This window comes from Homo sapiens, chromosome 9 (genome assembly GCF_000001405.40).
Source record: "Homo sapiens chromosome 9, GRCh38.p14 Primary Assembly".
NCBI classification, from domain to species: domain Eukaryota; kingdom Metazoa; phylum Chordata; class Mammalia; order Primates; family Hominidae; genus Homo; species Homo sapiens.
Window position 1 is genome coordinate 893,140 of NC_000009.12, and position 14,593 is coordinate 907,732.

General features: G+C 44.2%; 1 protein-coding gene across 6 annotated transcripts in view, besides 1 other annotated feature; it reads left to right on the plus strand.

Annotated features, from left to right (window-relative positions):
* The window catches only part of DMRT1 (doublesex and mab-3 related transcription factor 1), a 127,394-nt gene that overhangs the window by 51,443 nt on the left and 61,358 nt on the right, over window positions 1-14,593 (plus strand). For all 6 annotated transcript variants that reach the window (XM_006716732.2, NM_021951.3, XM_011517770.2 and 3 more), the window contains exon 3: window positions 773-1,056. In XM_006716732.2, coding sequence (XP_006716795.1) covers window positions 773-1,056 — 284 coding nt within the window. The remainder of the gene's footprint in view (window positions 1-772; window positions 1,057-14,593) is intronic.
* Window positions 787-1,106: an enhancer, noted in NCBI's record as "active region_28121". NCBI's record gives its function as "activates an Ori minimal core promoter by ATAC-STARR-seq in GM12878 lymphoblastoid cells {active_cell/tissue: GM12878}" and the evidence as "EXISTENCE:reporter gene assay evidence [ECO:0000049][PMID:35858748]".

Below are 14,593 nucleotides of genomic sequence, written 5' to 3' on the forward strand. Positions count from 1 at the left end.
CTGGCAGACGTTTCAGGCACCCGGACTGGCTCTTAGAACATTGTTTAATAAATGTCCATTGGATGGATGACTTAGGAATTCATTTATTGGAATTGACAATAAACACTTTAATGTCTGTGCCAGAGGTTGGGAAACTAGTCTTTGGGTTAGATCAGCCCACTGCCTGTTTTTATAAATAAAGTTTTATTGCAACACAAGCATGCTGCAGCAGTGATTGAATAGTTGACAAAACCTGAAATAGTTACTGACCTCTTACACTAGAAGTTTGCCCCTGGTCCGCACCTTTGGCCAGATTTCTGAAGATACCTGATCACCTGTGGAAGGAAGTTAAGGAAACAGGTGTTCACCTAAATTCACCTAAACTCTTGGCCACTCGTTTTGACTTTCTAACCTATCTATGTGGCTACAATTAATTTTGTTTTAAGAATGCACAATCAGGTCAACTAGATTTGCTCTTCAGTTTCTTGACATTAGGATAGGAATTTCTGGATAGAAGTTGTGCTGTTGGGCTTTATGTAATTAAAATCACCTCTAAAATGGTTTTGATACTCTCAGTAAAAACAATCAGCTGAGTCTTTCGGTTGTGCCACCAGAGTGAAGCGAACCTTAGAAACTCTCCCTTATTTTGGCTATAGGAGAAGCAACAGATGGTTTTGTCTTCTGCATATTCAGCTACCTTGCTCCGCAGGTCTTGGGTAGGAAGGTTTAGAAGTAAAGTTTCGTGGACTAACATTAATACCATGTTGTATTTTTCTTTTTTCTTCCAATTTAGAGGGACGTATGGTCATCCAGGATATTCCTGCTGTCACCAGCAGAGGGCATGTGGAGAACACACCTGACCTGGTTTCAGACTCCACCTACTACAGCAGCTTCTACCAGCCGTCTCTGTTTCCTTATTACAACAATCTATACAACTGCCCGCAGTACTCCATGGCCTTGGCTGCTGATTCTGCTTCTGGGGAGGTGGGAAATCCCCTCGGGGGATCCCCTGTGAAGAACAGCCTTCGGGGCCTCCCCGGACCTTATGTGCCTGGTCAGACAGGAAACCAGTGGCAGGTATGATATTAATTACCCAGAGAGTGAACTGGTTGTGTGAAAGCCACATGCATGTGCACACACATGCACATACACACAGAGGCACACACGCACTTGTGCGCCCAGAGGCACACACAGGTGACACACACAGGTACACACACATATGTGTGTGTGCCATTTTGCACACATGTAGGCACAATATGCAAAATGTGTAAGGAATTTTTTACTCTGTCAATAATGCCCTTTAGCCTCAAAGGTTGGCTGCAAGGAATTGGAAAGAAATAATGTACAAACTTGTTTTCTTTTTCAAATTTTACTTTTCTCATTTTTTGAATGTTGCATAAATAACCAGTTGGGCACAGGCAGATCACAAGTACTGAATGAGGTACCACCTCCTCCAGCTTTGTCCCCACTTTCGTTGGGCACCTTAGAAAATGCTGGGTAAAGCCTTCTGGGTGGCAGTAATCTGCGTGATGAATTTGCACCTTGGGAAGGAAACAGGTCATAATCTGTATGGAAGAAAGGTAAGAAAAGGAATTCGGTCACTGTTGAGCTGGACCCAACCTGGGTGCATTTTTCGCTAGGAATAGAGGTCAGTCTTTCATTCTCCAAGTTTGTTTTTTTTTTTGTTTGTTTGTTTGTTTTGGTTTGGTTTTTGAGACAGAGTCTCGCTCTGTTGCCCAGGCTGGAGTGCAGTGGTAGGATCTCAGCTCACTGCAACTTCTGCCTCCTGGGTTCAAGTGCTTCTTTTCACCTCAGCCTGTGAAGTAGCTGGGATTACAGGCGCCTACCACCCCACCCGGCTAATTTTTGTATTTTTAGTAGAGATGGGGTTTCACCATGTTGACCAGGCTGGTCTTGAACTCCTGACCTCAGGTGATCCGCCCGCCTCGGCCTCCCAAAGTGCTGGGATAACAGGCATGAGCCACCGTGTCCGGCCCCAAGTATGTATTTTTAAAATAGCATGCAATCAAGGGCATTTGATATTTGGAGTAAAACAAAGCATTTTACTTTATTAGAGAAGGGAGCGTTTATCTAGGGCTGTTCTGCTTCCTCAGTTGCAACCATTTTCATCATGCCCGTTTGTTAGCAGCAGATTGAAGGCATCAAAAGCATTCAGAGGCTAGATTACCTTGTACAGAGGTATGTTGTGGGAATATGTAGGTGAAAAGTTAGACTCAACACCTCCAAGCCCTCTTCCAAGTGAAAGACATTAGGATTCTGCAAGAACTGTTCTCATTCTGGATGCATTTGCCATGCTCAGGCTTCCTCAGTGGGGATTTGATTCAACGCAATGCCACATATATATTTGGGAGTTCAGTGCAAGTGTTTGACCCTCTTTTTCACTTTCCCAGCTTTATTGACGTATCATGGGTAAAAAAAGTTGTATATATTTAAGATGTACAATGTGATGATTTGATATATGTGTACCTTGCACAATGATTGCCACAATTAAGCTAATTAACAAACACATTAATCACCTCACATAGTTACCATTTTTATGTGTGTGGTTGATAACACTTAAGATCTACTCTATTAGCATTTTTCAGGTGTACAGTATATTATTAAGTACAGTCACCATGCTGTATGTTAGATTCCCAGAATTTACTCATCTTATAACTGAAACTTTTTTTTTTTTTTTTTTTTTTGAGAGGGAGTCTTGCTCTGTCACCCAGCTGGAGTACAGTGGCGCGATCTCGGCTCACTGCAACCTCTGCCTCCCGGGTTCAAGCCATTCTCCTGCCTCAGCCTCCCGAGTAGCTGGGACTACAGGCACGCGCCACCAAGCCCAGCTAATTTTTGTATTTTTAGTAGAGACGGGGTTTCACCATGGTGGCCACGATGGTCTGTATCTCTTGCCCTTGTGATTGGCCCACCTCAGCCTCCCAAAGTGCTGGGATTACAGGCATGAGCCACCACTCCCAGCCGTAATTGAAACTTTTTACCCTTTGCCCAACATCTTTTTTTTTTTCCAGCTCAATGAATTTTATTTCCCTTGTTGTATATAAATGCTTTGATTGACCAGTAGATATTTGTCAACCATTAGTATCTTGGTTCTGTTGAAGGAGTAAGAACATTTTAAACTGAGATTTTTTTTTTCTTGTCTTTTCTTTTTTTTTTTTTTTTTTCCTGAGACAGAGTCTCACTCTGTCGCCCAGGCTGGTGCGATCTTGGCTCACTGCAACCTCCACCTCCTGGGTTCAAGTGATTCTCCTGCCTCAGCCTCCTGAGTAGCTGGGATTATAGGCACGCACCACCACTCCTCGCTAATCCAACATCCCTTTATTTCCTCCACCTCGAGCTCCCGGCAACCACTGTTCTCTGATTCTGTGAGGTTGACTTTTTAAGCATTATTTAGGCCAGGTGCGGTGGCTCATGCCTGTATTCCTAGCACTTTGGGAGGCCGAGGCGGGTGGATCACGAGGTCAGGAGTTCAAGACCTGCGTGGCCATCATGGTGAAACCCTGTCTCTACTAAAAATACAAAAATTAACTGGGCATGGTGGCGCACGCCTGTAATTCCAGCTACTCAGAAGGCTGAGGCAGAAGAATCGTCTGAACCCGGGAGGTGGAGGTTGCAGTGAGCAGAGATCGCGCCATTGTACTCCAGCCTGGGCGACAGAGTGAGACTCTGTCTCAAAAGAAAAAAAGAATTGACTTTTCTAAGCCCACTTCAAGAAAATGTGAATTGAAATTTTCCTCTGACCCATTCTGTTCCATTTTGCGTCTGCCTTTTTCAGGTATTAAAATGTTGTTAAAATTGAAGTCATTAGGTTGATAAAATTGAAGTCATTCCACTTTTGGGATCTTTTGCTACCCTCAGGGATCTGACTTCTTGGGCATATTAAAATGTCAATTTTAATCCCCTGAGCTACAAATTTTCTTAAGTTCTTCATACGTTTTATTTTTGGAATCATATTATTATTATTATTATTATTATTATTATTATTATTTTTGAGACAGATTCTCGCTCTGTCGCCCAGGCTGGGGTGCAGTGGCGCCATCTCGGCTCACTGCAACCTCTGCCTCCTGGGTTCAAGTGATTCTCCTGCCTCAGCCTACTGAGTAGCTGGGACTACAGGCACGTGCCATCACGCGTGGCTATTTTTTTTTCTGTATTTTTAGCAGAGATGGTGTTTCACCATGTTAGCCAGGATGGTCTCAATCTCCTGACCTCGTGATCCACCAGCCTCGGGCTCCCAAAGTGCTGGGATTACAGGCGTGAGGGAATCATACTATTTTTGAAGGGAGCTTTTAAAGCACATTGATATTGGAATTGAGAGGTAATATACGTATAAAGGAAATGCAATGATCTGTGGAACTGAGACTGAGATGGGAGCCCGGGAGTTGGAGGCTGCAGTGAGCTATGATTACACTACTGGACTCCAGCCTGGGTAACAGAGCAAGACACTGTCTCCAAAAAAAAAAAACAAAATTAAGTAGATTTTGCATTCTACTATCTTCTCCCTATTATGTCGTTGTTGGTTTTTTCCAATTTAAGAATGTTTTAAAATCATGTTTGTTCATTATAACTGTCTCCTGAGAGCCACCGCGCCCGGCCTAAAAAATCTATTGAGTTCTTGACTGTTTGTTCATATGTATTTTCGTTAGCTACCTCAGATCCCCTTTGTAGCAAGATAGGGTATAAAAATACATATGTTAACTATTATCAAAAGACTGACATGCGAATATGGACCAAGTATGAATGTGTATGGATTGATTTCTGTATCTTTGGGGAAGAATTTGATGCCCTTAGGAAATAGAAAACATAAAGTATAGGTAAAAATGATAATGGTGCAAAATGCGTTAAGACATAGATGTTATAAAGAAGTATTAAAATTAAATAGTAAAAATCTACAAATAATACCTTTAGCTAATGTTGAAGGGAGAGAAACTGGATGGCTCACTTTTTAACCAGAGTCGTTTTTCTTTTTTCTTTTGTTATTGTTGTTTTTCTTTTTTTGAGACAGGGCCTCACTCTGTCATTCAGGCTGGCGTGCAGTGGCGTGATCTTGGCTCACTGCAACCTCCACCTCCCAGGTTCAAGTGATTCCTGTGCCTCAGCCTCCCAAGTAGCTGGGATTACAGGCATGTGCCACCACGCCCGGCTAATTTTTGTATTTTTAGTGGACATGGGGTTTCACCATGTTGTCCAGGCTGTTCTCAAACTCCTGGCCTCAAGTGATCCGCCCACTCGGCCTCCCAAAGTGCTGGGATTACAGGCATGAGTCACCGTGCCTGGCCCAGAGAGGTAGCAGAAGTGTCAGGAACAGAGATCTGGATGGCAGTCTTTTCCTCACTTCGCTTTTTCTGCTGTTCCTGGAAGGCTCTCTCACTCTGCTCTTTGGACAATGCCTTGCCCCTCTTGGTGGCAGCTTCCTAGGAGAGGGCAGAGTCGGGGGCTCTTCTTTGGTTGCTGCCCTGCTTTTCTGTCTTCTTTGTAGAAGGTGCCCCACCGCTGCACTTGGAGAGCACCTGTGCTGTTCTCTCCTGACTGATTTTCTTGGTGTGAAAATGGCTCAACCTTGAGGCCAGAATGTGAGGTTGGGTCTTCAACTACTTTCTTGACTGTGTTGCTAAGGCCGGACTCTCCTCCTAACTTAACCAGATGGAGTCATCTTTTTATTAGCTATCCTGCCTAGTAGGATGTAAACTCTCTTTTTCTTTTTAGATTGTGATACAAATTTGGGTAGTGTGGACATTTTAGCCATATTAATTCTTACAGCCCATGAACATGGAATATCTTTTCATTTATCTGTCTTCGGTTTCTCTCATCAGTGTTTTATAGTTTTCAGTAAAGAAATCTTTCACCTCTTTGATTACATGTATTTTTTTAACTATTGTAAATGGGATTGTTTTCTTGATTTCTTTTTCAGATGGTTCACTAGTCATGTATAGAAATGCTAACTAATTTTTGTATGTTGATTTTTGTATCCTGTAGGATAACTCCTTTCTGATTTATATCAGAATCAAGAAAGATTCAAATCTTTCTTCAAAAAAAATCAATATTTTAAAAAAGAAACAAGAAAACAATTTGTATTAAAACCAACAACTCCTTTTTGATTCCTAGAAAAAAAAAACTGACTCTAGTGGAGATCGTCATAACTTTTTAAAGCTAGAAGGAATTCTTAGAGATGAGTAGAAAGGGTTTCGAATTTTTATTGTACAGTTGAGACTTCCTGCAAGCCTCCCTATAAAAACAAGCAAGCCACGAATAATTACTGAGCACCTACTAAGTGCCAAACCTCCTTAAAAAATAGAGCAGTCTCCTAGCTCGGCATTCCAGAATCTTAAGGCTCTTTTGTGTAAATGCCCTGCCTGCTGAGAGCTGCTTTTAATTGCTTCTGGTCTGCCTCAGCCTGTGTAGGAGATTTGTGGCCCAATCATAGATTCCTGTCCTGTTGTGAAACAGGAATAACATTTGTGACACTGGAACAAACTCACAATGAATGGCTGGTTCCGCTGACCAGCAGCTCAATTTCACTTCTGCATTTAATTGCCTGCAAAAGCTGTTTATTGCCTTGTGCACTCCTCCACCGCAACATTATCTCTTAAATAAACATGTTGTACCAGGTTGACAAGGGAGAGGTGCGTATCGAGTGAGCAGAAATAAATATGGGAGGACTCTGAGCTATGCCTCGGATCTCCTTTCAGGCCCTATGGCAGGCGCCCTCTTGACTGCTTTTCCAAAGCTTGTGCCCCCAGATGTGTAGACTTACATTCCAGCCACGTTTAGGGTGTGGCCAAATGGCAGCACTGGCAGTTATTTCGTTCTTTCTGGTGGTTATGTGGTCTCCTCTGAAGTGTTTTATGGTTGTCCATTGACGATAAGGCACCTCGAAGGAATGCATTCATGTCTTAACATGCTTCCAGAGCCCACCATGTGCTGGGGATCTACCACTGAACAAAACACAAAAATTGGGAAAAGTGAGTCTTGGGAGAAGGCTGCTATTTCTTGATCCCTGGAGTTGGGGATTGCCTAAACCTTTCTACAGGTAGGAAGGAAACCGCGTTCTGGCATCTGGAGCTTGAAGCACAGAAAAAAGTGCCCCCTTGTGAGTGTTCCTGGCCCGGTGCTCCAGCACCTTCTGCCTGCTGAGGGTGGAAGGGTTGGGAAGGGCACTCAGAAAAGCCAGTACCTTTTCACTGCTTGTCCGCCGTAAGGAGCAGCCAGACAGGCTCTCGTTTTCCCACTGCCCCCCCTTTTTTTGTTGTTTTTTAAGTGTAGCTCAGCATCAGAACAACCTGTTTGTTAGCTTGAAAGAATGGTCAAAACAAGTCACTTTCCAAAGTATCTGCTGTGTGGGGGTGGCCAGAGCACTCTCTGCAGCTGTGCCATATTTGTGCTGTAGGAAGGCGCAGTGAGGGTGGAGCCATGGGAAGACAAGGCGGAAACCTGGCTCTCAGGAGACAGTTATGATGAACAAATATGATTTTAAAATACTCTTAAATTGAAAAAAAAACAACAAAGACATAATAGGGAGAAGACAGCAGAATGCAAAATCTACTTAATTTTTTTTTTTTTTTGGAGACAGCGTCTTGCTCTGTTACCCAGACTGGAGTGCAGTAGTGCAATCGTAGCTCACTGCAGCCTCCAACTCCTGGGTTCGAGTGATCCTCCCATCTCAGTCTCACGAGTAGCTGGGACTACAGGTGTGTGCCACCATGCCACACCTGGCTAATTAAAAAACTTTTTTTGTAGAGATGGGGGTCTCAGTGTGGTGCCGAGGCTGGTCTTAAACTTTTGGCTCAAGTGAGCCTCCTGCCTCAGCCTCTAGAAGCGCTGGGATTACAGGCTTGAGCTGCTGTGCCTAGCTCTACTTCAGTTTTTTTTTTTTAATTATTATTATTTTTTAATTGAGAAGGATCTTGCTCTCTCACCCAGGCCAGAGTGCAGCAGCATGATCTCAGTTCACTGTAGCCTCCACCTCCTGGACTTAAGCGATCCTCCTACCTCAGCCCCCTCAGTAGCTGAGGCTACAGGCATGTACCACCACACCCAGCTAATTTCTGTACTTTTTGTAGAGATGGGGTTTCACCATGTTGCCTGGGCTGGTCTCAGACTCCTGGACATTCAAGTGATCTGCCTGCCCTGGCCTCCCACAGTGCTGGGATTGCAGGCATGAGCCACCACGCCTGACCAATTTTTTGTGTGTTTGTTTTTTATTGTGAGACAGAGCCTCACTCTGTTGCCCAGGCTAGAGTGCAGTGGCGCGATCTCGGCTCACTGCAACCTCTGCCTCCCGGGTTCAAGCGATTCTCCTGCCTCAGCCTTCCAAGTAGCTGGGATTACAGGCCCCTGCCACCATGCCTGGCTAATTTTTGTATTTTTAGTAGAAACGGGGTTTCACCATGTTGGCCAGGCTGGTCTTGAGCTCCTGACCTCAGGTGATCCGCCTGCCTTGGCCTCCCAAAGTGCTGGGATTATAGGCGGGAGCCACCGCGCCCGGCTGCCTGACCAATTTTTAAGACATAGTAGGAGACTTCACATGAGTTTTTTTTTTTGCCACTGAGCTCCACGGTCAGGTTTCCCAGGATGATGTGCTCTGGTCACTGGAAACTCCTGGGAAGTTCTGGATGGAGAAAGCGGGAGTGACTTGCCTTACGAACCTGCCCTGGGCCCTCTCACCCTTGGCCGGGAGCCCTTCACAGTCTTGTTATCCACAAGATAACACCCTCACTCCAAGGCTGCCCTCTCACCCCCATGGCCCACACCATCAGCAAGTGAAACTAGCCCTTTTTTTTTTTTTTTTTTTGAGACAGAGTCTCGCTCTGTTGCCCAGGCTAGAGTGCAGTGATGCGATCTCAGCCCACTGCAACCTCCTCCCTAGTTCAAGCGGTTCTCCTGCCTCAGCGTCCTGAGTAGCTGGGATTACAGGCGTGCACCACCACGCCCAGCTAATTTTTGTATTTTTAGTCGAGATGGGGTTTTGCCATGTTGGCCAGGCTGGTCTCAAACTCCTGACCTCAGGTGATCCGCCCCCCTCAGCCTCCCAAAGTGCTGGGATTACAGGCGTGAGCCACCGCGCCAGCCACTTTTCAACTTTTTAAAACATAAAGTGATGTATTAGATGGTGGGATGTTTTTTGTTAATGCTCTTATTCAGCAATGTAAAAAGTTGATACCCGTTGTCTCTCGCCTCCTTCCTACACCCCCTCCTCCTCCACCTTTCTTTTTTAAGACTGCTGCAGTACTCAGTGTGTCCTTGTGACAACAGTGAAGTTCTTTAGGGGCTTCAGTGTGCTCCCTTTAGCAATTATGTGGACTTACATTTGTGCTTACCTCTTGACTTGCAGGGTGCTTCCCCTCCCACCACATTTTTTTTTTTTTTAGATGGAGTCTTGCTGTCTTGCCCAGGCTGGAGTACACCAATGCAGTTTCTCGGCTCACTGCAACCTCTGCCTCCCGGGTTCAAGCGATTCTCCTGCCTCAGCCTCCTGAGTAGCTGGGACTACAGGCACACGCCACCATACCCAGCTAATTTTTATATTTTTAGTAGAGACAGGGTTTCGCCATGTTGGCCAGGTTGGTCTCGAACTCCTCACCTCGAGTGATCCGCCCACCTCAGCTTCCCAAAGTGCTGGGATTACAGGTGTGAGCCACCATGCCCAGCTTTCCGCTCCTTTTTATGACAGCCATGGGAACACCCTCATGCTGGTCTAGCATTTTGAGGAATTCATTCACAGGAACCCCAAGTAGGTTCTGCTGTCAGGTACATGGTGAGGATGTAATGATTGGGCCTACTAGGTCAGTAGGCAAGTTTTGGAGACTCTTCTGTTTAAGGAAATGCAACTCCAAAGTCATGATAGACCCTAGAAAGTTTAAAGCCAGTGGAATTAAAGCTGTCATGTTCCCTGAGTTTGGGGGTCACATTACTATTAGTATAAACTTTGCCTTAAATGGCTTGTCAAGTCTTAGCCATGCCTATGATGTTTTCTTCTGCAACATAATTCCTCATTAGGTTCCTCTCTTTTAAAGAGAAATAGTGGACCCAATTCTCTTGGGTCTTTACAACATAGTCTTACTCCTGCAGGGAGCAAAGCTTTCTTTCTCTAGCTGGCCCTGTAAGGAGCAGTGAGAGTCCTTGCCCACCCCCACCCACATTACTCCTCTGAAGCATTAAGCCTGGGTGAATGCAGTCCCGGCTTTCTGTTTCTAGGTGATCACCTCACCTACCAGCACTTTCACCAAGGAGTTCCTATTTTGTCTCATTTTAGCTGATGACAAGTGATGATCGTGACAGTCATCATCTGGTTTTTATTACACCTTTCCTTGAAGGAATTGCTGTTTTGTTTCACAGATGATGAAAGCTTAATGACTTGCATGCTTTTGATCCTGCAGCAAGGGTAGTTGTTTGTAAGAACTGGTGCCTGCGATGACAATTTTCCCAGTGGCTCTTTGTCTGGAGCCAAAGCTCAGGGAGGGTGATGGTGGGAAGTTTAGCCGCTGAGCCCAGACAGATGGTGAGAGGTTGGGTTTAGGAATATCCCGTAGCTACAGTATAGTGCACAGGAGAGACATTTTTGGAGTGTGTTTTGGTTAAAAATATGTAGATTCCAGAAGAAACTAGAATTGGCCTCTGGATACCTGGGGCCCTGGAGAACAGACAGCTCTGACTCAGAGAATATCTAGAAGGAGTGCAGACCTGGGCATCCTAAGGGATTGTTTTTTCAGTCTGGTTGAAGTGGTCCAGTAGCATCCCAGGAAGCCAGATAGAGTGAAACATTAGGTTTTTCAGCAACCTTCGGAAGACTTGTGTAAGTCCTGGGCTGTCCTACAGATTCATTTCCATTGTTAGATGACTTCAGTGTGATCTGGGCTGAGTAAGAAATCCCCTGTAAAGTGCTGATGTACTCCAGGGACTACTTCACAATTGAATCGGAGGCAGAAGCATATTATTAGTCTTGCGAGGTTGTTACATTACCTATTATCTGACACAGTAGCATTAGGTTAGTAAATAATATAGTCATTTGGGGATTCTGTAATTGGCTTGAAATTTAGATAATTAGATCACAGTTTTTGAAAGCTTTCAGATTTGATTTGGTTTGGCTGGTGGCCAAAATCTTATCCATTTATGTTTGCCCTTTTAGCTTACTTTTTTTCCTGTTAAGTAGACATGAATATGATATGAAATTAGTTGCTTTTCAGAACGTTTAATTACATGTATAAGTGATTCTCAGATTTCTTAGGAGTCTATATTTCTGTGGTCTCTTAAGTGTTCCTCATCATTTGAATAAAGATGAAAATCAAGGGAATGCATAACAGGTTTGCCCTGTTTTTTCAATACCATAATAGAAATAGGATAGAAAAAAAGACTAGAGTTGCCAAAAAATATCCACTGTATTACAGAGTATGCGTTAGAGACTCCTTTATGCATTTGTTGATTGTTTTTATTGAGTGGCTGCTCCGTGCCTGGCACTGTGCTAGAGACTCTCAAGTACTGGCTCATGGTGGAATGGATGAGAAAGAAAACTCAAAAGACCCATGTGGCCGGGTGCTATGGCTCACGCCTGTAATCCCAGCACTTTGGGAGGCCGAGGCAGGTGGATCACCTGAGGTCAGGAGTTTGAGACCAATCTCAGCAACATGGAGAAACCCTGTCTCTACTAAAAATACAAAATTAGCTGGGCGTGGAGGCAGGTGCCTATAATCCCAGCTACTCGAGGCTGAGGCAGGAGAATCGCTTGGACCAGGGAGGCGTAGGTTGCGGTGAGCCGAGATTGCGCCACTGTACTCCAGCCTGGGCAACAAGAACGAAACTCCGTCTCAAAAAAAAAAAAAAAAGACACATGTAATTCTCTTATTCCTGTTTCGATCAGAGCCCGGGGAGAACTGTGATGCCTTGTGGAAAGATGAGCCCTTGCTGTGGCATGCCAAGAGGCAGGGTGGGGACAAGTGTTTGATCACAACTATTGTTTAGAATTTCCAGTGCATGGTGATAGATTGACTTTAGTGGATTTTATTTTTAAAAAATTATCCCACAGTGAGTGCACCCCCTTACTGCCTCCCCCCAGGATGGGTTGCCCTCAGCACCCCCTCCTTGGTATAGCATTGGCCCTGTGGGCATCACCATTGAGATGCACAGCCTCCTGGAAGGGGTGTTCATACATAGACTGAGGAACAGGGAAAAAGGTATTATCCCCACATTTTATTTATCACATTCCTTCTCACAACATTCTTTCTGGCAAGTCCCAGTTCTAGGGGAAGGAAGGCAGACATAATTCTATGTCTGGAGTATTTGTATAAAACCAAAAAATGGGAAGGCCTGGAAATTTCGCTGTCTCCTCACTCCCTTGCCCCTGTGTGTGTGTGTCTGTGTGTGTGTGTGTGTGTGTGTGTGGCACTGCAGGACATGTCAAACTAAAGTTTATGTACTTAAAATCACCTTTAAAGTGTATAATGGAAAGGTTTTTTGTTTGAGTCATTTGTTTGCAAACCCCGAAGAGGAGTCTTTCATTGCGGTGCCCCGTTCTCCCGTTGACAGAAGCAGGTGGACCCGTGAGGGGAAGAGGAGGGTGCAAGCAGAACAGCCCTGGAACAGTGTCACGCTGCTGGGCACTTCCTGTCTCCTATTCCATTTCATCCATAAACACAGCCTTTCCGGGCTGTGAGCCTCCTTTTGTGGATGAGGAAACTGGGGCTCAGGGAGATGAAGTAGCTAGCTAGTACTGCACGGCTGGAAACGGGGAAGCTGGATTTGGAGTTTGCCTGACTGCAGAGAGGCACCTCTGTTCCCGTGGTGTCTCTGCTTTCCTTGCAGGGCAGTGCACATTTCTTGGTTTTCCTTTTAAAGCCGTGAAATTCTGGAAAATCACTAGGCATGCTGTCTCTCAAGATGCTTCTGTGACACACACACCCACACACACACACACACACACTCACACACTCTTCCAAATCCATGTACTTTAGGGAACAGTGGTAACGTGATGCTTTTGGTCATTCTTGTGTCATTTCAATTAGTTGGAGGTGGACTCCCTTCATGGTCTTAGAGTGGGCAGGGCTTTTTCCTGCCACCCACAAGTTGAGTGTGTCCATCAGAGGTCACCAGCCTGCGTCGGATCTTGAATACCAGTTTGGTAAAGGATGTGAGTGTGTGCGTGTGCTTAGTTAGAATGTGGCCCCAGACAGCCTCACGTTGCCCTCCCGGCAGGCTCTCATGTTCTGTGCTCATAAGACACCCTTCACACTGCTGATTTATGCTAAAAGTATCCTAATGTTTCTGACAGCTCATGTGTGACATGAATATAATCCATATTTCTTACAGCAGCTAATCCAAGTGGCTTATTTTCCTATACTGCTGATAGGGCTATATCTCTTGATGTCGCAGCCCTGGAGATTGTGATGGTGACATATTGTTTCTGGGTCACTAGTTTTGTCTAAAACAGTAGGTTGGAACAGAGTAGCAAAGGTTAATTAAGTTTGTCCATCAAGGTGGGAACAGATATGGATGCCTCTGATGTTTCTGGTTCTGAAATCAAAGTTCCTAAATGTGCGGTTGTGGGCATCATTTCTCATTTTCAGACAATCAAAAAAAAAGTTTATTTGCTCCAGAAGTAGAGACAATGCGAAGAGTTGTTAAAAGCTAAAGGCAGCAAAGTAGGTCTTTATACTAAGCAGATACCTTCATTTAAAATTAGAAAGTTTCCTTGGTTTAGTAGAGAGAAATCTCAGAAGCGTCTGAGGTGATTTACTTTGAATCTTGCTGTCTGTACTTAATTCCTTGGGACCAGAACCAAGTTATTTGATCTCTCTGAGCAGTTTCTTCCTATATCAATGATTATTAAATTATGAAGACTCATGAGATAACAAGTCTCTATATTATTTCTCAATAGATGCTCATTTTCTTCCTCTGAAATTTGGTTAATCTTATCGTCAGTAACCAGTATTTTCTCAGGAAAATTAACATTAAGAATATCATCAGTACAACCCCCATCCGTACAAACACACACCCCAGTCTTAAGAAGCATTGTAGATGCCTTCAGAGACTGGACATGTGAGAGAGTGGAGCGTGCTGATCATTATTAACCAAATTTAAAAAATACAACCTTTTTAATTTCCTTTCTCTCCAGCCATTTTACTGAAACTCTGTTTCTTAGTTGCTTTTATGTAAATGGTACTTGCATTTATGCCTGGTATACATGGGTTCAGTTGGGAAGTCCGGGTCTGTATTTTAGATTTGTGAACTAGACAAATGTAGGTTTCCAACCCAGGAACTGGAAAATCCTGCATAGATTTCTCAAGATGAAGAAGGCGCTGAGCTAGTCCCAGCCAGACACTGGTCCAAACCAACCACCCCACTCTCTTTTGTGAACCCCCTGATATGCACCAAGACCCTTTCAGGTTTTAGGAAAAGGAAACATTTTTTAAAATTTGGCTTTTTCTTACTGTTTACCTCCTTTTAGAGGTACTTGCATCCCTTTACCTGATTTATACGTTGGTGTCTTTCAAACATTTTAGATTGAGACCCACAGTAAGAAACTGTATTCCAGTATATATTTACACACACATACACAAAATGACAAGTTTTGTAGAACAGTTCTTACCCCTTACCCAAATTG